This window comes from Homo sapiens, chromosome 9, assembly GCF_000001405.40.
Source record: "Homo sapiens chromosome 9, GRCh38.p14 Primary Assembly".
Lineage (NCBI taxonomy): Eukaryota > Metazoa > Chordata > Mammalia > Primates > Hominidae > Homo > Homo sapiens.
Window position 1 is genome coordinate 135,806,910 of NC_000009.12, and position 27,032 is coordinate 135,833,941.

Sequence of the window (27,032 nt, forward strand, 5' to 3'; positions counted from 1 at the left end):
GGCCCTAAAAAACCCAAGACTTTAAATGCCCATCCCGAAGCGTCAGCACCCCACAGTGCACACTGACGCAGGCCCAGGGGCTGCACGGGGAAGACACAAAGCGAGCACCCACTGGGCTCCTCTGGGCCCAACTCCAACAGCCGGTGCCTCTGCCAGCACGCCTATCATACAGGAGTCTCCATCTAAACCACCGTGTTATTAATCATTTCAACTATAAAGAGAACTTACTTTTCATGATAGCATGAAACTAGAAGGATGTGTATCATTCTTTCCACAATGAGAGAGAAAGGACACGAGATCTCCTCCAACTGGGAGTAAGCAAGCCGGGTGCCATGTGGGCTTTTCTTGACCTTGCCCTGTGGCAGCAACATGGATCCCGCAAGCATCATCCCCGTGTGCCCCCGACAGCATGTCTCAAGCCCCGTTTGTGGCAAGCCACACTCAGAGCAGGATCCTCCTCCTCCTGAAGGCTGTCTGCACAGATGAAGCCAACATGCTATGCACATCTGAATGGCAGGCCGCACCCTCAATCACAGGCTGCCAGAGCTAAAGTACCTTAGTTTGCAGTTCGAGAGCATCATTTACCAGATGAAAAAAGAGAGCTACTGAGAAGTGGCTCCAAGGCCAAGCTGGTTAGTTGCTGACCATCATCGCGATACTAGCGTAGAACTTCATTTGTATAGGAAATGTGGTTTAACACTTTTGAACCAGAAGCAACCCAAATTTTTCACTGCAAATAAATATTCTACCCTGAAACAAATCATTCAGCAATTCATTCACAAGTTTTGTGCCTGGGCTTGACTATGTGGAGTGGAGTCTGCTCATCTATTTCTTTGCCTTATCATGCATTCCCATCATATGTTGCTTTGGTAAAGTATTGCTACGTGAGAAATAACTGGGGAAATTTAACTTGCTCTTTCTAAAGGAGAAAGAACAAAACCAGGCATCTGCAAACAGCTTGCAGGTGGAGATCACTCCTCTTCTAGATGGCGGACGGACGAGGGCACTGACTTCCACAGCTGAAATTTACTTTCCCAGTTCATAATCCTGGAAAACGGCACGAGGAGGAAGGAGAGGAACTTGCCATCTGTACGGCGAGATGCCCCCGGGAGCCCAAGTTTCTTACAAGAGCAAGTTCTGCTCTCTGAACCCTCTAACAAACCCCACAGCCTGGGCCTTCAAATGTGATAAACTGAAGCAAATGGAGACTGTGAATGACAGAATATCCTACATGGCTCTGCTGGTGACGTCCGAATCCCTTGGACTGCCCTTAAAAATACACCTCCACCTTCAAAGCCATAAAAAACTCTAGACAAACAGTAAGGCACCTACTCAAGCCCTGTAAGAAAAGGCAGGTGTGAAAGTCAGAGATGCAGTCCTGGGTGTGTCTGCTTCCCAGTAACACAGACAGACTTGACCAAAACAATGATGGAGAGATACAGCTACAGTCCTTTTCAAAAACATTCACAGAAAAGGTGAAACTCAACTCCTTTACAGATGCCCGTTCGCAATTCTCACAAGTCAAACCCCATTGCACAAAATAAATCACAATCAATTGTAAAACATTCTCCAAGTGATGAATTTTTAACAGAAAATTTTATTTCAATAAATATTTTGCCCTCCAAGTGACAACTACAATTTCAGGGAGGTAAAAGTATAACCTAGAAGTAATTTAGAATTATTCCACTTTTCAATTTTGCCTGAGTGAAGAATACAGTTTGGGCCTGAAGTCTGCTAAGAGACTGCACCGCAGTGACACGTGCAGAAAGTCAAAAGGACACATGGAAAGCAGTCCATCTTTGGTGCACGCACACAGCCATGTGCACGCACACGTGTGGGTAGAACGTATCTGCACATACATGCGTAAAATAATGGGACTCACGCAAGTTTCATTTCTCTTTCAACCCTTCTGGGCTCCCAGAATTCTAGCATTACCAAGGATTTACACATAAACTTCATCATACATTGAATCATTTGGTTTACACTTTCTTTACAAAGTTATATCCTAAATGGGTAGAGCAGCTTGTCTTAAATAACAAGGTTAGAATTCTGAGACACAACGAAAGTTGTGCAAGCTTTCCGCTGAAAGAAATTTGCAACGAGACACAAATACCACTGCAGGGGCTTTGAATATAGGAGACATTGATAAACAGAGTTATAAGTCAGTGTTATCAACTGCAAAATCATGACTTTACCACCACCCAAGCCAGAAAGGCCCAAAAGCACCACCACGAAAATTAATCCTGTGTCTGAAACTTTTCAAGACTAATTAAAAGGGTTGCTGTGTCCAAGCATGAAGAACGCAGGGACGCTTCTGTCAATCATTAGGCGAACACTGGCCTGGGGACTTGGGACATCAGGAATGTCCATGCCACATTAGTGCTTACTCGCAACGAACAGTGAAAACTACACGCTTAAGGACAAGTTTCAGGATGTTCCACACACTGACTCATTCCATGGAGAAAATCCAGAATTGATTCAGACGTCCCATGGGAATGCAATTTTCCAGCTCTATGCCAGATATTTTCTAGCTCTTCATTAAAAAGAATCCAATTCCACTGACTTCGATAGGGCCATGGTAAAGAACAATGTGAAACTCCTATAAAGCAAGGAGTTGGTGTCGCCTGGTCAGCGAAATGAGCCACAGCAACCTCACACATACGATTCAATGTAAAGCAAATTAGTTCATCACTTTATTACATCTTAGTGCTTTCTTAAAATAAATACAGTAATATCATATCAAACATACAGTGAGAAATAAAGCCCACGTGTGAAAGTATGGTAACAGAAAGCTCACTCAGGACTGTGTAACTCAGCACTTGAGAAATCATACAGCCTTTAGTTCCCTATTTACAGGACAGAGAGCGGCTGTGTCGAACACGATATATACAAAATCGCAAGAGACTGTACTTCTCTTCAAAGGACTGAGGAAAGGGGAATAAGACCTATAATTCCTTCTAGCCTTCTGTACCATGTTCCCTCCTTATGTACACGACTCACTCATGTTTTTTGTCTATCTAAAATTATGTAACAGTTAAATTTGTCTCTTTTTCTCCCAATTATTGATCTTTTGATTTTTTCTGCAGTTTGAGATAGATTCAAGTAACACTCCCAAGAAAATATGTGCAAAACTAATGTTAGTGGCTCCAGAATCTTCCGGCAGCTGGTCAGTTGCAGCAGTGTCTGGCAGCCATGGCTGGCACGCACCTGCTCCTGGGAATGTCCGCGCTCCACAGAAGCATCAACACCATTGGGACCAAGGCAGAAAGAACCCAAAGCCATCCACTTACTTGGAGTTCTGAAATAACTGCAAATAACCACTTAATTGTTTTTAAATAGGCAACAAAACAAAAGTATCCATCTACAGGGGAAACGGCACGCTCCTCTGAGAGCATGCAGCGCTTCCAGATGCAGAATCCAGACAGGACAAGCCGTGACCTAACAAAACCACTGAAGGGACTGTCAGCTTAAGTGCATCACCTTTTGGGACAAACATGCTCAGAATGAAAAATATTCTACTTTACCAAAATCTGTCTTTATTAAAGTGAACAAACCATTAGAGCACTACCCAAAACTTAATGAATGATGGCTGCAGTTGGCTCGGCTTGCCTACTTTAAATGAGGCAAACATCAGCTCCTAGTGCCATTCCCCACCCTCATGACCGCGTGCCAGAAGTCATCATCTTCACATTTGTAGACGTTGTTCTAGCGGAAGACAGGCTTTGCAGATTTCGGTGCTTTTAGTGAACTGGTGTTTTCCGTAAACTTTTTCTGAGCAGCAAGGGATAAGAATTTTTTTTCAGAAATCTTAGAATTGGATATAAATGTTGGCAGTAGACACAACCAATAAATATCATACAATTTCTCAAATGAAAAAGATTTCCCATTATGAATTCCTTTGCTATAGACATTCAAACACCCCAAGCCAAGATTGAGCCTCAGTCCCATAGTCACGAGATTACAGCTGGCCAATATGAGGGTGTCAGGCAATGTGCAAGGGGGCGAGGTGAGAAGCAAGAAAGCAAAGTGGATCACGTCTAATCTATGCTGAAGGAGAACTTCAAGTAAGGGAGCTCCGTGGCCCGGGACCTGGCTGTGAACACCCTCCGCTGGGAGCCTCAGTGGTCAGCAGTGGCCACAGCAGTGCGAGCCACTGCAAAAGCGGCATCTACTCCCCCATCCTCACCCTGCCTGGCATCCTCTGCGTGAGATGAGCGCTGAGAGAGGGGTTTTCTTCTGCTGTCTAGAAACCTCTTTGCAAAAGGTCTGTGACTTTGCACACTTCGTACCCAAATAGATGAAAACAATAAATAAGGACCCCGTGGCACCCTCTGGATGCCAGCCACAAGGGCATCATTTACGAGTCTGGGTCACCCTTTGGACGCCAGCTGCACCGGGGTCATTTACGAGTCTGGGCCTTCTTTGGCACTGCAGGCCGCTTGGGCTGCCACAGGTGGTTGTGGATTGTGAGTGCGTCCACACTGACAGACATGGTTTTGGCTGGGATCAAGTTAAACTGTTTTCGGTCTGAGCTGTATTTATACAGTTTGTCGATCATTTTCTTGGTGATGTTCTTTGGCCCCGTGCCAGTGAGTTTGTAGATTTCCTCAGTATCAGGATAGTAGCAGTAAAGCGCCCTGAACTGGCAGCCAGCATCACGAAACAGTATGATGTAGTGATTGGCATCACACTTCTCCAGCTCCTGTGCAGAGAGAGAAAAGGGGAAGAGACAAACACTTCAGGGCCACTCCAATTGCCACGAGTTGGGCTCCCACAGCGGCTCAACCAGCACCGCTCCGTGGGAAGCTCTCCCACCCGTCAGCTACGGCCTGCCTGTTGTAAACAATTACAGCAGACCCCTGTACGGGAGCATTATATGCCATTGAGACTTTACTTAAGAAGTCTAAGCAAGCAAGGGGGAAAAGAATGCTTTTACGATTAAATGGAAAAGCATATGAAAAGATGCTCATCATCAGCCACCAGAGAAATGCCAGTCAGAAAGAGACGTCGCGTCATGCCCACAAGGACGGCTGGAACCCAGAAGCAGGGCGGTAACGAGTGCTGGCGAGCCATGGGGCTCTTTCACTGCCAGAAGGATACAGAGCACAGCAGCTGCTGTGAAAAACAACTTGGCTCTTCTCCAAACCATCAGGCAGTTACCGTGGGACCCAGCAATTCCTCTCTCACATATGTACTCAAGGGAAATGAAAACACGCATCCATACAAAACACTGCATATAAATAACAGCACTATCCCTTCACAGGCAAAAAGTAGAAACGAAAATATCACATGTACCCCCAAAAGCATGCACATCTGTTCCCTATCAATAAAAAATGTTTGAAGAAGAATCAACCCAAGTGTGCATCAGCAGATGACGAGATGAACAGCATGGGGTCGGAGCATGCAATGGAGCATTACCCAGCTACAAAAAGGAATGGAGGTCCGGTACACACTACACTGAGAAACCTCAGAGCATCACGCTAAGTGAAAGAAGCCTGACCCAAAAGGCCATATAATTATGATGCCAGTTATGTAAATGCCCAGAACAGGCAAATCCATGGAGACAGACTGGCGACCGCCAAGAGCTTGGGCGCGGGAAGACTTAGGGGGGTGACTGTTCACGGGCGTGGAGTTTCTTTTTATGAGGATGAAAATGCTCTGAAATTAGGCGGTGGTGATGGTTGTGCTACTCTATTAATGTACTAAAAACCACTGAATGGTATAACTTAAAAGGGTGAATTTTACGGTATGTGAATGATATCTCATAAAGCTGTTTGGGCCGGGCGCTGTGGCTCACGCCTGTAATCCCAACACTTTGGGAAGCTGAGGTGGGCGAATCACTTGAGGTCAGGAGTTCAAGACCAGCCTGGCCAATATGGTGAAACCCCATCTCTACTAAGGATACAAAAATTAGCCAGGCGTGGTGGCACATGCCTGTAGTCCGAGCTACTCAGAGAATCGCTTGAGTCTGGAGGGGTGGAGGTTGCAGTGAGCTGAGATTGCACCACTGTACTCCAGTCTGGGCGACAGAGTGAGACTCCATCTCAAAAAAAAAAAAAAGAAGAATCTGAAGTATGACAAACTGCTGATGCCTGTCGCCGCGTTTGTTGATTGTATTTTAAAGTTTAAAACGTATCTTCAAGTGTTTTGGTAACTTTTAAAAACAAACCCTCCACACGCCTGGGAATGGGAGTGCACCTGGGTCTGCCCTCACAGTTCTCCACATGCGGCCCAGGCATCCTGAGGCCTTCCCAGGAATCTCAGGGTCAAGCCCTCGACCTCGAAAGGCTAAGGCCTCATCGCCTCTCCCAAGTGTGCGGCAGAACCTTCCCAAGGCCCTGGGCTGTGTGGTTGTAATGGACGGAGGGCCCGAGCGGCTGAGATGCCAGCCCTCTTATGTCAATGCCACTCTTCTATTTATTTGGCTTTAGAAAAGTTACTTTTCATAAATATGCAATGTATCAGCATATAATGGGGTTTATTATTTTAAATAATACGTATTTTTTAAAAGAATCCAAAACTGTCTATATAATACTGATTTCAACCCTACTCACTGTGTTTAAATATGAACAGAATTAGATGCCAAAAAGAAAGAAACATTTAATTTGTAGCGACAGCGGGACTGTGGGGAGTGGGGTTCATCTTATTTACTTATTGCTGCCTGCACGATAAGGAAGCGTGTGGTGCCCACAGCTTATGTGGCACAGCTGAGAGGGCTGCTGTCCTAGAAAGGCCTGCCTGCTGGGCGGCCCTTGGTGGGCACCTGGGAACTTGCTATCTGCAGAGCTCGCTCCCAGTCACTCACTGGCAAGACAGGAGGGCCTCCTGAGCCTGAACTGCTGGTCTGCACGCTGACGCTGGTTTCCTCCCAGGCGTCAGGCACACTGCTGCACACTGGGCAGGGAGTGTGCCTTGTGACCAGCCCCCAAGGAGAGCTCAGGGCATCCAGTCTCAAAAGGGCTTTCCATGGCCCACAGGCTGCTGTGGATCCACTGCTGGAAGAACGAGAGCAGAGGGAGCTGCACAAGGCCTAGCCCCGCCTCTGTCTTCTCCCTCTTCACCCAGTGGCTGTGGCTCCCTCCACAGTGCTGGAATAAATCTAAGCCCTGGGTCGACTCCACACTGAGGGCCACGAGTCCTTCCAGTGCATCTCCGCATGCAGGGTGATCCTGGGGGCCACTGATACAGGGGGCCAACCACCTCTCCGTGTGGAAATCTAAGCAGGAAGGGCATGACCATGGCCTCTTCTGTCCCCAGTGCCACGAGACCTGCCTAGGTCGGGGCCATTCTTAGTCTAGATGATCTTCACTATCAAGAAAAGAACACATCCGTTTTAAAGTGGGTCAGAAATTCCGTATGTCACTTTAATTTTTACAACTAAACCAACTAAGGACCAGGGGTTAGTCTTAATTATTAAAAAGCAGAATTTCTGGTGGATGACAGATTGTTGCATAATTTTCATTCACTCATTCACAAGCCGTTGTATCCCAAGGCCAGCAACTTAAGGCCACACACCAGCCTCAATCTGGGGCAGGGTCCAGTGGCTCTGCCTCCTCTCCCCTGGAATCCCAGTCCTGCCCCTCAGGGGCCAGCCTAGACCCCGTGCAGGACCCTCAGATTCCTGCTTCCAAGCCCCTCCCTGGGCATGCACACTGGGTGCTCCGGAGTCCACACGCTCAGCGGGTGCGCGCCTCTTCCCTCCCTCCCCACTCCATCTTCCCCAACCCACCACTCCGTCCTCCGTCCTCGGTCCTCCCCAACCCACCGCTCCAGCCCTGGCCCCTGTTCCTCATTCACCTCCAGGCTGCCTCCCTGGCTTCCCTGCTGACTGCTCTGATCTACTGGGAAGGGCAGGTGGGTTCCTGGCTCTCCTCTGCCCACACCTGCATCCACTATCTCACTGAGTAGAACTATGTCTTTCCTCAGCCCAGAGGCACCACATGAGGATGTAGCCTCTGAACCCTGCCCCGTCCTCCTGGGTGTTCCTCCAGCACAGGCTCACTGCAGCCCCTGGACCTTGGCACTCCTCACTCCCACCTGCCTGGAACGGCCTCTTCCTTGAAATCTGCATTCTCCCTAGTAACTCTCATGCATCAAAGATTAGGGGTGTTTTCTTTTAAAAAGAACCCTTAATTTATAAACACTTTTTATTCCACATAAAAACTGAGGTTGAAACATGATACTTGCCTCCAATATGGAATTCTTGTGGGGTTCGTTCACTTTTCCAGCCAGGCAGCAATGGGATATGGCATTGTGAATAATCGGCTTGTTTGATTTACTACTGGGCTCCTTAAAGAGCTTGGGACCTAAGAAACGAGGCCAGGGTTGGTAAAATTATTATTTTAAGGCACGAACACACACAAAAAAGAAAACCAGCAATGTCTTAGAAGCAAGCAATGGGTAGGCTGAATTACAGATATTTATGATTATTTAAAAATGGGAAGTAAAAACCACTTAAATTTATTCAAAAGAATTTTAAGTTATAAATTTTTAGACAACTAAAGACAAAGTAATCAATAATTTATCCCCTTTCTAAATTCAGTGTCTTAACTATAAAAAAAAGACAAAACCAGGTAAATAACTTGTAAAAAGTCTAAAGTTCAAAGGCCCCGGGACATACACCTCAGCCACAGCAGCACCTCCAGTTCACTGTGCCCTGAGCCCACGCCTGCTCCAAGGGCAGCTGGTGAGAGCCAAGCACTTCCACCACTCCCGGGCTCTGCTGCCCCCAGGTCCGCTGCCCCCTGCACAGCAGACAGCAGGGCAGATGACCAGGAGGGCAAGGCAGGCCTAAGAGCTTCTACTAAACCACATGCCCATTTCAGCACCAAAGAGCTCAAATTAGCTCTCTTTCACTACATCAAACATCTTTGTTAGAAAAATACTTTTTAGACCAAAATAGAGAACAGATATTGAAAGAGCCACGCAAAGGCGTATGGCCATGCCCACGATGACCTCTAAGGAGGGCGAACGCCGTCACCTGTGTACTCGGCCACTGAGGCCAGGGAAGATGCCGCCGACGCGGTCTCCCAGTCTCGGTCTGTGCTCCTGCTTGGGTTACGGCTCAGTATGGGCAGGGCTTCCATCGATTCCACTCTGCAGGCAGAAACAGACAAGAGACAGGCAGGTGAAGCGCTGGCTTCCTCTCACCACTGCTGGCAAGGGGCTGGCCCGCAACCAGGACAGGAAGCACATCAGCAGGGGAGGAGGCTTTCGGTGACGGTGGGGGCTCGAGTTGCCACAACTCCCACACAGTACAGACACTCCGAGCAAAATACAAAAGCAAACACTTCAGGCACTAGGGAGTGATGAAGACAGACAGAGGGGAGTCAGCCCTTCACCGAAGGGGTTCACCTCCACGAAGCCCTTGCTCCAGGCACTGCCCCCGTGAGCAGGGCACAGGCACAGCACAGGGCACAGTGCTGCTGGCTCAGGAAGCCAGAGGATGAAGTTTGGGCCACCTGTGCTGCTGCCCAGCCAGGGATGAGACCTAGGGAAGGAGGGGCCACAGCAGGCCGAGTCTGAAAACTTGGGTCCCAGTGACGCTGATCCCTGGAAGGCCTGAGCTCCACCCTGCAGGGAAGTCTCCACTGAGCACAACAGATGCCGAAAGGCTGGACACAGCTGCTCAGAGATGTCGGCTGCTGCTCTCACAAGGGAGGCAGACAGAGCTGGAGTCTGAATCCAGCCAGGGTAACTGACCACCAGAACAAAAACCCAAACAGAATCTGCAGTCCCTCGGAGGGATCTGCCACAAAGCCCAGAGACAACAAGGAGCCATGAGACGGGTGAAGAGACAAGAAAACACGGCCCACAGGTGCACACAGAGCAGGAGCCACACGCTGTGCATATAAAAATAAAGGGACACATGGGCAAGGGAAGCCCTTGCTCCCACGAGAGCTGACAACACGCGTGGAGGAAGCGGTGAGCAGGAGCTCCATGGTGGTCACTAAAGCCCCTGCGGGACAGTTCCGTGAGGTCCAGACCAGTCCCCAGCCTCTCTCCTGAAGTTACTTTCTCATCACAGGAGCGGTCCCGGGGCCCACCTGAGAGGCTGCGTTGAGAAAGACGCACACTCACTTCTGGGCTGCTCAATCAGCAGCGCGAGGCCTCAGTCTCATCACAGGAAGCCGATACTGAGAGGCAGCCAGAAGGATAACTGACCTGTGGTTACCAAAAGTCAAGGTCCAGAAAAACACAGAAAGGCTAAGGAACTGCTCTGGATCGAAGGAGACTACAGGGACATGGCATTTCAAGGCCATTCATCGCCCCAAACCAGATCCTGGACTCGGAAACAACACAGTTGTCAGGGACACTCTTGGGATAACTGAGGACAGCTGAATGGGGACCGCAAATCGGATGAAAGTGCTGCCTTGGTAACTGGTAACACGAGAAAACATTCTCGTTCTAGGAAATACACACTTAAGTATTTAAGCATAAAAGGCCAGACATCTCCAACGGAGTGGTTTTTTTCTGTTTATTTTTGCTTTTGGGGGTTTTCTGGCAGCGTCTCACTCTGTTGCCCAGGCTGGAGTGCAGTAGCCTGAGCACAGCTCACTGCAGCCTCAACTTCCTGGGCTCAAGCGATACTACCACCTCAGCCTCCCAAGTAGCTGGGACTATAGGTGCATGCCCCCACACCCAGCTAACTTTTTTTTGTATTTTTTGTAGAGATGGGGGGGTCTCACTCTGTTGCCCAGGCTGGTCTGGAACTCCAAGGCCCAAGTGATCCTCCTGCCTCAGCCTCCCAAAGTCCTGGAATCATGGGTGTGAGCCACCACGCTTGGACTCCAACGGACTCAAAACGATGAAGAAGCAGGTGTGCACGTGTGGGGTGGGGGACAGGGGAGGGTGATAAGGTGAAGGCTGCCACGTTTAACCAGCTGGGGAGCCCGTGTGAAGGGCACTGGTATTCCTGATGACATGATTGCAACTATTCTGTAAATGTGAAATTATATCAAAATTAAAGTTACAAAAGCCTCTCTCACCGTGTTTAATCAGGAAGTCCCACCCTGCCCCTCCGAACGTCCTCCAGCCCCGTGCCGGCGGCCGTCTCAGGCCCCTTACCGCTGAGAGGGTGTGCCCCCGGAATGAACGCTCTCGGGTTCTGTCGTCGCCGCAGAGGCCAAGGACAGGCTGGAGCCTGACTGAGTCCGGCTCAAGTTATCAGCTGCCAGAGACAGAAACAGACGACGGTTCATGAACGGATTCCGACAGACAAGTACCTGTCCCCTGTACCTGTTCCCCTCACCTCGCCCTGCAGAGCTCGGCCACACAGGCCGCGTCCCCACCCCATCCCGGGGAGCCGGGCTGCGCCTGGATGTGCCGCACATCTCAGAGCATCTGGTCTCAACATTGTCATCCATGAAACGGGGATAATCATCTCCACCCTTCCCGCCTCACACCACTCTTGATGACAAAATTGAAATGAGCTGAAGAACGTGAGGCCGCCGCCCGCGGAAGGAAGCGCTGCCCGCGTGAGGGCCGGGGCTGCTTACGGGTGGAGGAGCACTTGGTGCCGGAGTCGCTGCACGACTCTTCCCGGTGCACCGACTTCGGCCGCGGCTTCTTCGGCTTTGACTTGGGCTTGCCGAGCCCCTGCTCCTCTAGGATCTGCTGCTGCTTCCTCCGCAGGTACTCCTGCTTGATGAGCTCGCGCCGCGCCTTCTCCTCCTCCTTCCGCACCCGGTCTTCCTCAGCTTTGCGCCTGAGAGAAACACACGCCCAGACACTGCTCGGTCACGGGGCTTCTTCCACGACGCCTGCGCCGCGGCGCTCTGTCCAGGCGCGTTTCTCGGGTTCTCCCCGGCCGCTGGGACCAAGAGTGGCCAGCCTCCACAAGCGGGACACAGAGGCTGCAAAGGCAGTCCTGCAGATGACCCACCGAGGCCACACAGCCTCCCTGGCCACCGGCAACGCACGTCCTCACTGAAGATCAGCAGGGGCCGTGAAAGTTCGGGGAGGTGGTCCATGGGAGGAGTAAGACCGTCACAGGCACTCATTGCCATGGTCCATGCTCAGTGCCAGCAACGGGACCGGGGCCGCCAGGGACCCACCAGGCTCCTGCTCAGTCTGCTTTCCCCCCCGGCGGGACGCTTACCGGGCTTCGTCACGCTTGAGCTCCACCTCCGCTTCCAGCTGCTGCTTGCGCACGCGGGCCTCCTCGGCCTTGCGCTGCTGCTTCAGGAGGAAGGCCGCCCGCTTCTTGGCGAGCTCATCTTCCGCTTTCTGTTCATCCTGCAAGACAGAGGCCACACAGAGCATGACAGGAACCCCCTCAGACGCCGGACACGGCCGCACTCGACCCAGCAGCCGACTTCCACTACGCTTTTAAAAGTTTAACGCATAAAGACTTCTATGCTTTTCTCTAACCGTTACAGACTCTGAAATACGAATGAAGACAAACCAGGGCATTTCAAAGGCGCTCGGCATCACCCAATTTCCCAAACATCTCACGAGATCCAGTTTGCCTTAAAAAGTACACGTATATTTCCAAAATAAGAGCGAGGCTGGGCAGAATGGCTCATTCCTGTAATCCCAGCACTTTGGGAGGCTGAGGTGGGTGAATCACTTGAGGTCAGGAGTTCAAGACCAGCCTGCCCAACATGGCGAAACCCTGTCTCTATTAAAAATACAAAAATTGGCTAGATGTGGTGGCTCACGCCTGTAATCCTAGCACTTTGGGAGGCCAAGGAGAGTGGATCACCTGAGGTCAGGAGTTCAAGACCAGCCTGGCCGACATGGCGAAACCCTGTCTCCACTTAAAAAAAAAAAAAAAAAAAAAAAAATTAGCCGGGCATGGTGGCACACGCCTGTAATCCCAGCTACTCAGGAGCCTGAGGCAGAAGAATCGCTTGAACTCGGGAGGCAGAGGTTGCAGTGAGCCAAGATCATGCCCTTTTACTCCAGCCTGGGCGACAGAGCCAGACTCTGTCCAAAAAAAAAAAAGCGAAAAAGTGAATACTGAAGTTGGTCACGAATTTGTTTACATTTCAAAAGTGCAACCACCAAATAAAGCTTGCCTCTTTTGCTAAGATCCACCTGATGATTTGGTATCCTCTCAAATTCATAACTGCCTGGAGGCAAAGCAGAAACAGTTGCGTGTCGCTTGCCGAGAGAAAACGTTCTGAGAAATAGGTCCTCAGGTGACTCTGCTGCTGTGTGAGCATGACGGAGTGTGCGCACACCTGGATGGCAGCGCCCCCCACAGGCCTCGGCTACATCAGCCACTGCTCCTAGACTACAGACCTGCACAGCACATTACTGTACCCAATACTGTAAGTAACTGTGTATCAAAATCTATCTAAACATTGAAAAACTACCACGAAAACATGGTCTTATCATCTTAGGAGACGACGATATATGGTCTTATCATCTTAGGAGACAACGAACGTCACAGCAAACATCATGTGACGCACTGACTATTAAAACAGTTCAGTTTACGCTTCCCTTCATATCTAAGGAAAAAATTACAAGAAAAACATACAAAAAATGTTTTTTGAAGTTGCTATATCAGAGGTTGGCAAACTTCAGCCCACAGGCCAGGCCTGGCCACCTCCAGAGCATTCTAACGACGAACGCTTTTTACGCTTTGGGGCAGGACAGGGAGATGACAGGGTTTTGACTGGAAAACCAGCAAAAAAAAAAAAACTATGTTGAAAATCACATGAAATTCCAGTTTCAGGGCTCATAACAAAGTCGTCTCAGCCACACCACGCTCACTTGCATGCGTATTGCCCGGGACTGCTTCTGGCCAAGTGGAGTCCTCGGGACAGAGACTCTGTGGCCCACAAAGCTAAACACACACATCCCCTGGCCTCTTACAGGAGCGGCTGGCCAGCCTGGTGCAGATCTGTGTTCTCTAACTCACTATCACGTGGGGTGGCAACACATCACGAGTGCCTGAAACAGATGCTACCAATCCCTTACCTTGAAGAAGAAGCCGACCCCCGGCTTCTGGTCGCCTTCGCTGACAAGGTCCGCCGAGCCATCGAGGCTTACCAGCTCCCCATCCTCGTCGGGGGCCTTCAGGTCGGAGAGGTCCACTTCAATGAGGCTGGCCCTGCTCCTCAGAGGCTCCTCCACGGGGACGCTCTCTTTTCCCGAGACATCTGAGGAGCTGGACCCCACCTCCTTCACACTCGCATCCAGAACTTCTTTGAGGCTCATCTGCTCCGAAAGAATGTTGGCATCTTTGGAAGAGGACAGAGTAAGTGTCCGCTGATTGCTTTCATCATGGAGCCTGTAACTGTCGAAGAGACACTTCCCATGTGGGTCACCACTGGGCTCCAGGGCACTGTCCAGGCCAGGGTCCGTGGGCGTCCGAGGGTGGCTGCTGGCAGGGAAGGGTCTCAAGTGCGGGAGCGTCTCTACACTGGGCGTTGGGGTTTTACTTCGGGAGGAGCCCTGTGGCCTGTCTTTTGGGACCTTCAGCTCCGCCGGCCTTCCGGAACGGGAATTCCGGCCTTGACCCAGCCGGGGGGCTTTGCGGTGGCCAGCCACGCCCGTGGGAGAGAGTGGCTCCACGAAGTGGACTGGTGCCTTCACTTTGTGGTCCTGCGAGTTATTCTTAGAGCCTGGCACTGGGACTGTGGGGGACTTCATCAGAAGCTGCTCTTGCTGCTGAGAGATTTTCAGGATGGCCTGCTGCAGCGTACTGATGGTTTCGTTAAGCTTCTCGATGGAAAGGTCACATTCATTCACGTCGACAACCTCCCCAACAGTGTCCTCCAGGAGGGCAGCGGAGATCACCTTATTTCTCTCCAGCTCGTGCAGAGCCACAGGGTCTTTTGCTTTATGTTGCTGAGCAAAGGCCAGGCTCTCTTTGTCCACATCCTGTGGCTCGTGAAGGAGCTCCTCTCTCTGCTCCTCCTTCACGAGAAAGTCTTCGGTTTTGGAAACAGCGTCCCCACAGTCCTCCCCGTTGTGCTGAGAGTACTCCTTTGCAAAGTGCTCCGGCCTGAGGGGTGGGGCAGCCTCGGCCTTGCCCTTCTTCACCACATGCAGGAATGCAGCCTTGCCGAGCTTCAGGCGCTGCCTTGCCGACAGCGCCTCCATCTTCTTCTTCTGGGCCTCGATGGCCCTGCGCTTCTCCTCCAGCTGCATGTGCAGCTGTACCAGCTCAGATGCCAGGAGGCTGGCGGGATCCTTGCCATGCTGGCTCGGACTCTGCTCCCTCTTCTGCCTCCACGTCGTCAGAGGGGCTGGGCAGCTCTCAGACGCATCTGGCGTGGTCTTCTGGGAGCTGCTGGTGCTGGACTTGGTCTCACAGCTGTTGAGTCTCTGGAGCTTCCTCTCCGCAAAGCTGGTCATCTTCACGCTCCCACTCGCCATGGAGACACTGCTCATCTGAGAGGCTGTGCTCAGGCAGGGGCTCGAGCGGCCGCTGGCGTCATCTTTGTCTTCATGTTCCTTCACCTTCATGTCCTCCTGCAGTTTGGCCGACTCTTCCTCCCCAATGTATCTGCTGAAAACCACAGGATGGGCCTCACCCATGAAATCGTGCTCGGCTTCCTCTATGTCCACCACATCCGAGTCAGAATCCTGCCTGAGGAGAGTCCACGGCTCTGAATCGTGGGAGTTGGGGCTTTTTGAACAACTAACATATAACCTTCCCTCGGTGTCTTCATCGGCCCTGCCTACATGAAGGAAGAAGCCATCCGTGGATGGTCCCTGGGGGAACGGATCGAATCCGCCAAGGGCCAGAGGCCCACCACAGACCTCTCCTGCGGTTTCCACTGACAGTGGTCCTGTCTCGGTGGGGTCGATGCCCATGGGGAATTCTGAGCATGGAATCGGGGTAAAAGTCCTATTCAAGTCGCGACTGCCAGTCATTTTCCTTCGTACCAAAGGCTGGGGGCCCTCGCTGGGCCTCCTAGACACGATGCTCCTCGGTCTCCCTTCCCCCCGTTCATCCTCCTTGGTGATCACCTGCTTCTCTTTCGCTGGCTTAAGAACTGCTGGCATCAAAGGCTCCAAGAAAAAACTGTCAGGCTTACTTTCCGAGGTGTCCAGCTGTCCTTGGGGAGACCGGGCATTTGCTGTAAGGCCTAAGGCCCGGGGTGAGGCCCTGGGGAACTCCGGGTCAGCCTGCTGGGGAACCACGTCTGCTCTAACAATAGCCACAAGCTCCTCTTCCTCATCCTCAATACTGACATTGCTCAGGAGGCTCTTCCCGTGGCTCTTCGTGGCCGTGGGGTGTGGCTGGTTCTGTGGGGTCAGATTAACAATGTTGGATGCCAAACTGTCTTTGCTGATGGAGCGGGCCAAGCTGATGCTGTCGCCAGAGCTGGGATCCACTTCACAACTCGCAGCGTGATGTAGAGCAAAAGGTGTTGGCTGGGACGCAGGCCTGAAACACAGGGAAGGCCCACTGGGTGCGCTGCGGTATACACCAAAGACCCCCAACATGGACCAGGGGGTGAGAATGCCGGCCACACAAAGAGAATACGCCTCTCATATGCAGGAGATTTAAACTCACTCTTCCACAGAGCAGAAGAAAATCAGAGATAATTTCAGCTTTGTGATTCTCAAACACTCTAGTCCCAGGACCTCTTGATACCCTTCAAAATTACTGAGGACCTCAAAGAGCTTTTGTTTCTATTTATCAGTATTAATCTCTATTTATCATCCTACAAATTAAAGCTCAGACATTTTCTAAACACTGATTAAAATTACAGTAATTAGCCCACTCCATGACAAATGACTATATTCGCCAGAACGGAAGAAGTTCCTAGTGTTAAGGGCAGGCACTATTTGACACCTGTATAGTTCTGGGATCTGGCTGGACCCTCATACCTGACTCCACCTGCTGCCACACCACATGGTATGCAGCCTCTGAAAAATCCCACGGCACACTCGCAAGAGTGAGGCTGCAGAGAGGCAGTAACTTCCTAGTGTTGTTATAAAAATAATTCTGATTTCAGGCACTCCCTATAAAAGGGTCTCGGTGATCCTCAGGGGGTTGGGGTGACATCTTAAGAACTGCTGTTTAGTATAAAAAACATTCCAAACAGAAACACTGCTGAAACACAGACTCACCTGGTTTTTTTTTCTGGCCAGGCTATTGCTGCTCCTCGAGGCTGACCATCAACTCGGGTCAAAGAATTCGATCGATGTCGCTGATCTGCAGTACAGAGGAATTAGATAGTGTTAAGTAACCAATTTTCTATCACTTGAAATTCTTTCAATATGACCATTTGTCCAGAAAAATGCCTCTCAAGTCAGTACACCAGAAGGGCCGCATGGAAAGCAGAGAGGCAAAACCATACAGTTGTCCCACATTTTGATGGTAACACACAGTTCAGAACTGTGAGAGAGCTTCAGCATGTGTGAGCCCTGCTTATGTCGCAGTTACTCTGTGTCTACTACACAGAAGGTAATTGCTCTCAACGATATTTTCACTGCAAGACTATACATTTTGACAACACAAGTTAAAATTTATTTGGCTACAGTCTTAACTAAAATCACTACATCAGCCGGGCACAGTGGCTCACACCTGTAATTCCAGCACTCTGGGAGGCCGAGGTGGGCAGATCATGAGGCTAGGAGATCGAGACCATCCTGGCCGACATGATGAAACCCTGTCTCTACTAAAAATACAAAAATTAACTGAGCATGGTGGCATGCGCCTATAATCCCAGCTATGTGGGAGGCTGAGGCAGGAGAATTGCTTGAACCAGGGAGTCAGAGGCTGCAGTGAGCCGAGATCGCGCCACAGCACTTCAGCCTGGTGACAGAGCAAGACTCCATCTCAAAAAACAAACAAACAAACAAAAAAATCACTACATCAGATAAAATGATTTAATTTTGAGAAATATGATTTTACTAATCTATAGTAAGGAGAAATTAAGGAAAAAAGGAGGAAACAACATTCTTACCAGGGATGTCCTCTCCCTGTATGGATTTCTGCTGTTTCTGTCTCAGTGGCAATAAAGGATGGGATGGGCTGAAGGCAGCAGTTCCTTTCCCGCTAAATGGAAAAAGAATTACAGGGAAAATCATTCCTTTATCAAACTTCAAGGTCAACAGCAAATGCACAAGTGTACAGGACCATCCTGAATTCACACCAAGTTTTGAGAAACTCGGACTGTTTGGGAAAAAAATGACAATAAAAATGAGCCAAGAGTATCAGGAACTTCCAACCTGGGATGAACATCCACACACTGCAAACGGGCACACTGACTCCCCGATGTGTCTACAACACAACCAGCTTCCCACGGGAAAAGCAAAACCCAAGCGTGCAATTAGAGTGATTTTCTGAGATAAGCAAAAGTAAAAAGAAAAAGTGATCCTCTGACAAGCAACAGTTTTCAAAAATGCACATTACTGCTTCAATTAAAAAAAAGAGAGAGAACTTCAGAGATAAAAGAGACCACAAGGATGATGCCCAATGTACTAAGCCACCACTGTGAAGATATTGATGAGTAATTAAACCCATCACAGACGGCAGCATGAACATTCCCACACTGCTGGTGGGAGGGTAAAAATGTACATTTTTAGAGGACAATATGGCAATATCCATAAAAACCTCTAAAATCACTCACACCTTTACCACTCCTTGGATTATAGCTTAAGAGAAAGAACGATGAGAGGTGCACACAGAAGCATGGGTGTGAAGGCCTCACTCCCGGGAAGAACGGCACATGCAGGAAAGGCGGAAGTCACACGTGTGCGGATCGCACAGTTCTGACAGAGCAACACCCATGAGACCGGCACCCAGCAGCCTCTGCCACTCCACAGGCACCAGCTCCCCGAGAAACAAGCGCGCTCACACTGCAGGGCAGCTATCTTGCTTGTTTCACTTTGGGGAGAATTTGGTAAAGGGATAATTCGCCAGGTGCAGACAGGCTGGGGAGATCACAGGGGACAGCTCGGCACCCTAGGCCAGAGTCAGCACACCTAGGCCTGAAGAGGCAAAGACGGGCAGAGGACACCAGAGTCAGGACACAGACACCAAAGAGACACAGTGAGAGCAGGTGTGCAGGAGCACACAAGCGAAAGGGTTGCGGAGAGAGGGGCTCAAGGCAGGGAGCCCGGGGGGAAGCTGGGCAGAGCAGGAATGGCACAGGGACCTGTGTCAGGGCCACAATGCAAACCCTGCAGCCTGGACACCGTGGGGACAGTGGACCCATCACGGCACGCCCATGACGTGACAGACTGGGTAGCTGTTGAAACTGTGGCAGACGAGGATGCACCGAGTGGGAAAATTCTCACCACAGGCTGCTGGGTGCAGACAACAGGGTGCAGACAGCAGGTCACAGAGCAGCGTGTACACGGGCACCAGCACACACACACACACACACACGGCTCAACAACAGACACGCAAAGACCGAAGGGAGGACGCCAAGTGTCCACGCTGGCCCCATGTGAGGGACGGCTCAGCCTCGAGCCATTCTCCTCACTCAGTGACCCCGCCTGTGCCCGCGGGCATGGAGTTACCGCCCCACCTCTGCTCTGAGCTCTGGGGACAGACACCCCAGTCTCAAAGCCGCCCAACACAGAACACATCCAAACCCCTCCCTCAGCTATGCCCCACCCCTGGGTGTGTACCCCCCCACCACTGCCTGTATCACAAGGGCCTCTCAACTCCTTCCTCCTGACTCCGGCAGCCCCCGCATCCCATCCCTCAACATGGTCACCGGTTTTAGCTCCTCTCAAACAACCTGAAACAACTGAGTTCGTTCTATGCCATGCTGTCTCACTGAACCATTCACTTATGTGAATTATTTAAAACCACTTTTAAATAGCGTCTTCATCTTAAATCCCAACTTAAATCGCCACATGTTAAAAATGTTTCTCCACTTTCGGTGTGCTAACTGGCTCCAGGCTGGCATCAGCTGTGGGTCCTCCTACCACACACAGCACAAAGCTCACTCTTACTCCAAGGGAAGCTTCCTTCACCCCCTCCCCCAATTCTGGCACAGTCAATTCTACCCCAGATATGGTTATCCAAATTAGGTCTTCATGATGAAAATTCATTTTAGAAAAAACGTTTTTTAAACAACTCTTTTTCTAGAGTAGTTTAGCCTTTAAGCAGCTCTATACACTTTTTCACTCGAATCAAATTAATTCTTCCCCAAAGAGCAAACAAATTCTCTTCTTTGAAGACTTCACAATACTTGAAATGCAAGAGGATTTCACTCTTTATGTCTATCAGACCATAAAGAGCACACCTAAACTGTCAATTCAACTTTCTAATCTTTAGATCGTTTCTTAAACAGTGTAACACATGGTGGAAAAGAGAACAGAAAAACACCTGTTCCATAAACAATGTCAGAATTAGGTACACATCCCTGAAGGAACTTCCTGCTAGTATCATTCCCGGCCTCTGGAAAGGGGACCGAATGGCCAGAAGGGCAGGGACAGAAGGAAAATCTTTCATAAGCGAATACAAATTGCTTATTTTAAAAAAGGTAACTTCAATTAATATTTTAAACTAACACAAAAAGGGACACAAGATGGTGAACTGATTCTGAAAGCAGAAAGACAGACTTACAGGTATTCAGGTTCTTCCGGGTGCAGGTAGTGCCTGTGACAGCCTTCCGCCGGCAGCTGCACGGGGGGCTGCAGCTCAGCCAGGGTCCCTGCAGCAGGGCTGCCTAGGAAACTGCGTTTGGTCGCGTTGGAGATCGGTACAGGAGGCCGGCTGCTCTTCTGGTGTAACACTGTTTTCGCTGCAGAAATAGCGTTTTTGCATCGTTACTTACAACACTAACTGGAAGCACAGAAAACCTAACCTGCAGCTTTTATAAGCACTAACTCAACCTTTTATTGAAACCAAACTTCTGCCAAAAAAAACTGGTTTCAAGTTTAACAAATGTATTCTGTAATAACAAGTACTACAAATATTATACCGAAGTAAATACTAACATTAAAAGACACAACACAGATGAGAAGAAGAACTGAGAGGAAATGTAAGCCCAGCTGATGGGCTCTGTCTTGGTCACCGTCTAGCACCCGCACAAAAGCCCTCCACTGGTGGGCTGCTTCCAAAACCACGTGCCACCTTCACCAAGCCTGGTCCTAGACAAGATGCCCACCACCCAGGCTCCTGGGAGAAGGCTTGGGGCTCAGCTCCAGAGAGCCACCTCGCTCAGCCCAGCCAGTGAGGGACCGAGGCAGGGTCAGAAGGGCGCTTCTCTAGACCCAGCATGTGGGCAGCTGCTCTGGTGGGTCCCTTCAGCTCCAGCCCCTGGGGGTCAGGTGAGGTGCTGAGCCTGGCTGGGGCGCCATTCCCTTTCTTGGCCCACGCCTGCTCACCCGCCTCTCTCCCAAAGGGTCAGCCCCAAACAGTGACTCTGTATCTAAGGCTGCTTCCCAGAGAACTAACCTATGGGAGGTGGTGCCAGGAGCAGCTCAAGAAGGCAAGAGGTGGGGCCATATGGTGGGGACCAGTGGGAGGGCACCCACTAGGTGATGTGTTGTGAACATGGAGGAGGGAAGTAAGGACGAGCGGGTGGCGGCTGCACTGAGCTCTGCAGACGGTCTAGGGAAAAGATAAAGAGGGCTAAGAGGCAGCAACATGTGACCAAAAGCCAAGGGCACCAAGCTGTGCTCTCCTACAGCCAGGGGCCAGGACCAGAAATGAATGGCTGCCGGAGAAGCTAAACCCCCAACCCAAGAAGGCTGCAAGGCCAAGGTGAGGCCCTAGATGGGAAGGAAAGAGACTATGACTCATGGCATACAAACTTCTAGGCCTGGAGAACCTCAAATTCTCAGATTACCTGAAATTCTTTGAGCCTACAGAGGAGGGCTTCCCTCCCTGTTAAAGGCCAGTATCCCTGCTGGCCCCACGCTTAGATGATACAGATCTCTCTCTCAAGATGACATGTGCTCCCCCAGGCACATTATAATCAAATTGTCAAAGACAAAAAGAATTTTGAAAGCAGCAAGAGAAAAGTGATTCATCACATACATGGGAACCCCCATTAGACTATCAGTAGGTTTCTCAGCTGAAACCTGCAGGCCAGAGAGAAATGGGATGATATATTCAAAACGCTGAAAGGACGGGAAAAAACCCCAACCAAGAACATTTTATCTGGCGAAGCAATACTTCAGAAACACAGAGGAAATAAAAACATTCCCGGACAAACAAAAGTTGAGGGAGTTCATCACCACTGCACCTGCCTTCCAAGAATGGCTAAAAGGAATTCTTCATATTGAATCAACAGAACACTAAATAGCAACACAAAAACATAAAAAGTATGAAACGTATTGGTAAAGGGAAATATACAGACACAAACATAATACTGTATTACCATAACAGTGGTAGATACATCGCTTTTAATTCCATTATAAAAGTTAAAAGAGGCCAGGCACGGTGGCCCATGCCTGTAATCCCAACATTTTGGAAGGCTGAGGTGGGAAGACCACTTCAGCTCAGGAGTTCTAGACTAGCCTGGGCAACACAGCAAGACCTCATCTCTACTGAAAAAAAAAAAAAAATTAAAGTAGCTAGGCATGGTGGCACATGCCTGTAGCCTGTAGTCCCAGCTACTTGGGAGGCTGAGGTAGGAGGATTGCTTGAGCCCAGGAGTCTGAGGCTGCAGTGAGCAATGATCAAGCCACTGCACTTCAGTCCAGCCTGGACAACAGAGCAAGACCTTGTCTCAAAGAAGAAAAAAAGGTAAAAGACAAAAATAGTTAAAATAACAATAAATTGGCCAGGCACAGTGGCTCACACCTGTAATCCCAGTACTTTTCGAGGCCGAAGCTGGTGGATCACCCGAGGTTGGGAGTTCAAGACCAGCCTGGCCACATGGTGAAACTCCATGTCTACCGAAAAAACAAAAATTAGCCAGGCGTGGTGGCGGATACCTGTAGTCCCAGCTACTCAGGAGGCTGAGGCAGGAGAATCACTTGAACCCGTGAGGCGGAGGTTGCAGCGAGCTGAGATTGTGCCACTGCACTCCAGCCTGGGCGACAGAGCGAGACTCTGTCATAAATAAATAAATAAATAAATAAATAAATAAATAAATAACAATAAGTTATGTTAACAATTACATAAATAGTTATGTATGGTGGCATTAACTGCACATCATGTAGAGGAGGGAGGTAAAAGCTGAGAGGTCTTGCATATAAGTGAAGGTGAGTTGTCATCATCTTAAAACAGACAACTGTATCTTATGTAAGCCCTAGGTAATGACTACTGAAGTTACACAAAAGAAAAAAAGAAGGGAAAGCAAAAACCATTAACACAAAAAGCAACAACAAAACACAAATGAAGATAGCAAGAGACAAAGACATGCAAAAGAACTGTTAGACAAAACAGTTAACAAAATGGAAAAAGGAAATCCTTTCCTATCAATAATTACTTCAAACAAAAATGGATTCAACTCACTAATCAAAAGATAGAGAGTAGCTAAATGAACTAAACACCAAGATTCAACAGTATACTGCCTACAGGAAACCCACTTTTGAGTGAAGAACACACAGGCTGAAAGTGAAGGGATGAAAAGATATTCCACGCATGCAAATGGTAACCCAAAGAAAGCAGGCATGGCTATACTTACCTCAGACAAAAGAGACTTTACATCGAAAACTGTCTCTAGAGACAAGGGTCAATTCAACAGAAAGCTGTAACAACTGTAAACATCTATGTACCCACATCAGACCTAAATATATAAAGCAATATTGACAGATCTCAAAGGAGAAACAGAAATACAGTAATAGCAGAAGGCTTCAATACCCCACTTTAAATACTGGATAGAATATCCAGACAGGATATTTAACAGTAATAAAAACAAAGAACAGCAGGCTTACACAACATTCCAGACTAAATGACCTCACAGAGACATATACACACTTTTCACCCAACAGCAGCAGAATACGTATTTTTCTCAAGCACATGGGACCCATTCTCCAGAACAGATCATATGTTAAGTCATAAAACAAGTCTTAAAATATTTAAGATCAAAATCATGTCATGTATCTTTTCAAACCACAATGGAATGAACCTAAAATTAATTACAGCAAGAAGGCCAGGCGCAGTGGCTCACGCCTGTAATCCCAGCACTTTGGGAGGCTGAGGGGGGCAGATCACCTGAGGTCAGGAGTTCAAGACCAGCCTGGCCAACACACTGAAACACCGTCTCTACTAAAAATACGAAAAATTAGCTGAGCGTGGTGGCGGGCGCCTGTAATCCCAGCTACTTGGGAGGCTGAGGCAGGAGAATCGCTTGAACCTGGGAGGCGGAGGCTGCAGTGAGCCGAGATCGCTCCAGCCTGTGTGACAGAGTGAGACTCCGTCTCAAAAAAATAAAAAAGTAACGGCAAGAAAACAGGATGATTGACAAATACGTGGAAACTAAACAACACATTCTTAAGCTACCATTGAGTAAAAAAGGAAATCAAAAGGGAATTTTAAAAGTATCTTAAGCTGAATGAAGCGGAATACAACATACCAAAACTTGCATGATGCAGTGTTAACAAGGAAGTCTGGGGCCAGATGTGGTGGCGCAGACCTGTAATCCCAGCACTTTAGGAGACTGAAGTGGGAGGACTGCTTGAGGCCAGGAGTTCAAGACAAATCTGGCCAACATAGCGAGACCCCATCTCTCTTTTTTTAATTAAAAAAAAAAAAAGGAATTCTGTAGCAATCAACACTTCCATTAACGAAGAAGCAGGACTTTAAATAACAACCTAACTTCACACCTCAAAGACTAGGAAAGGAAGAACAAACTAAGCTCAAAGTTAGCAGAAGAAAGGAAATTATAATAAAGATCAGAGCAGAAATAGATCAAATAGAGAAAAACAATAGAAAAAATCAACAAAACTAAGTTGGTTTTGTGAAGATAAAATCGACAAACTAATGAAGAAAAAGACTCAAATAAAATCAGAAATAAAAGAGGAGATATTATAATAGATGCCTCAGAAATAAAAATGATCACAAGGGCCTATTACAAACACTTATATGCCAACAAACTGAATAATGCAGAAGAAATGGATAAATCTCTAGAAATATACAATCTATGAAGACTGAACAAAGAAGATATCTAAAGCCTAAACAGACAGTAATAAATAAAGAGATTGAAGCAGTAATCACAAACCTCCCAACAAAGAAAAAGTCCAGGACCAGATGGCTTCACTACTGAATTCTACCAATTCTTCTTAAATCCTTCCAAAAAACAGAAGAAGAAACACTTCTAAACTCATTTTATGAAGACAGCATCACCCTGATACCAAAGGCAGACATAGACACCAGAAGGAAAGAAAACTACAGGCCAATATCTCTGATTAACACAGATGTAAAAATCCTCAATAAAATACTAATAAACCAAATTCAACATTACATCAAAAAGATTATACACCATGATTAAGTGGAATTCCTCCCTGAAATGCCAGGTTGGTTCAACAAAGACAAATCAATGCAGAACACATTAACAGAATCACAGATAAATACCACATGATCATCTCAACAATATGCAGAAAAGCATCTAAGTTCAACATCCATTCATGATTTAAAAAAAACAACTCTACACAGAACAGGTATAGAAGGAGCTTACCTCCTCACAATAAAAACCATTTATGAAAAGCCCACAGCCAGTACCATAATTAGTGGGGGAAAACTGAAAGCTTTTCCTCTAAGATCTGGAACAAGACAAGGATGCCCACTCTCACCTCTTTTATTCAACACAGTACTGGAAATTCTAGTCAGATAAATTAGTCAAAATAAATAAATAAATAAAACTGTCTCACTGCAGATCCAAGGTCCTACACATAGAAAATCCTAAAGGCTCCATAAAATAAGTGCTAGAACTAATCAACGAATTCAGTCAAGTTGCAGGATACAAAATCAACATGAAAAAACTGTAGCATTTCTATACACTAACAATTAATTATCTAAAAAAGAAATCAAGAAAACAATCCAATTTATAATAGCATCAAAAAGAACAAATACTTAGGAATAAATATAACCAATGAGTAAAAGATCTGTACACTGAAAACAATAGAACACTGATGAAAGAAATTGAAGACAACAAAATTAGTGTAAAGATATCCCATATTCACGGATTGACATAATATTGTCAAAATGTCCATACTACCAAAAATGACCTACAAATTCACTGCAATGCCTATCAAAATCCCAATGGCATTTTCCACCAAAACAGAAAAACAAACCTAAAATCTGTATGGAACCACAAAAGACCCAAAATAGCCACAGTAATCTTTTTTTTTTTTTTTTTTTTTGAGACGGAGTCTCGCTCTGTCGCCCAGGCTGGAGTGCAGTGGCGCGATCTCGGCTCACTGCAAGCTCCGCCTCCCGGATTCACGCCATTCTCTTGCCTCAGCCTCCCAAGTAGCTGGGACTACAGGCGCCCGCCACTACGCCCGGCTAATTTTTTGTATTTTTAGTAGAGACGGGGTTTCACCGTTTTAGCCGGGATGGTCTCGATCTCCTGACCTCGTGATCCGCCCGCCTCGGCCTCCCAAAGTGCTGGGATTACAGGCGTGAGCCACCGCGCCCGGCCAGTAATCTTGAAAAAGAACAACAAAGGCAAAAACATCACACTCCCTGATTTCAAATTATACTACAAAGCTATAGTAAAACACTATCATACTGGCATAAAAACAGACACAAGCCAATGAAACAGAATTGAGGTATACGGTTAACTAATCTTTGACAAAGGTGCCAAAAATACACCATGGGGAAAGGATAGTACCTTCAATAAATGTTGTTGGGAAAACTGGATAACCAGATGTAGAAGAATGAAACTGGACCCTTATTTCACACCATATACAAAAATCAACTCAAAATGGACTGAAGACTTAAACTAAGACTAATTAATTTAATTAAGGCCTGAAACTGTAAAACTCTAGGGAAATAAGCTCCTTGACATTAGCCTTGGTGATGATTTGGTTATCACACCAAAAGCACAACTAACAAAAACAAAAATAAACCACAGGAACTACACCAAATGAAAAAGGTTCTGCAAAGCAAAGGAAACAAACAAAACGAGATGGCAGCCTACAGACTGAGAAACTATTTACAAACTATATGGCTGATAAGAGGTTAACATCCAAAATACATA

The 27,032-nt window shown here is 48.1% G+C and overlaps 1 protein-coding gene across 9 annotated transcripts in view, besides 1 other annotated feature; it reads right to left on the bottom strand.

Annotated features, from left to right (window-relative positions):
* Positions 1-1,577: 1,577 nt before the first annotated feature.
* Positions 1,578-27,032, bottom strand: part of CAMSAP1 (calmodulin regulated spectrin associated protein 1) — a 99,060-nt gene continuing 73,605 nt past the window's right edge. For all 9 annotated transcript variants that reach the window (NM_001437281.1, XM_011518273.3, NM_001437280.1 and 6 more), the window contains 10 exons: positions 20,498-20,675; positions 17,880-17,971; positions 17,041-17,125; positions 13,930-16,351; positions 12,101-12,237; positions 11,499-11,707; positions 11,068-11,170; positions 8,981-9,096; positions 8,188-8,306; positions 1,578-4,702 (listed from right to left, as the gene is read on the bottom strand). In NM_001437281.1, coding sequence (NP_001424210.1) covers positions 4,400-4,702; positions 8,188-8,306; positions 8,981-9,096; positions 11,068-11,170; positions 11,499-11,707; positions 12,101-12,237; positions 13,930-16,351; positions 17,041-17,125; positions 17,880-17,971; positions 20,498-20,675 — 3,764 coding nt within the window. In that variant the 3' untranslated portion in view covers positions 1,578-4,399. The remainder of the gene's footprint in view (positions 4,703-8,187; positions 8,307-8,980; positions 9,097-11,067; positions 11,171-11,498; positions 11,708-12,100; positions 12,238-13,929; positions 16,352-17,040; positions 17,126-17,879; positions 17,972-20,497; positions 20,676-27,032) is intronic.
* Positions 14,195-14,356: a silencer, noted in NCBI's record as "fragment chr9:138712950-138713111 (GRCh37/hg19 assembly coordinates)". NCBI's record gives its function as "represses an EF-1alpha promoter that drives an FKBP-Casp9 reporter gene in an ReSE screen in HepG2 liver carcinoma cells {active_cell/tissue: HepG2}" and the evidence as "EXISTENCE:reporter gene assay evidence [ECO:0000049][PMID:32094911]".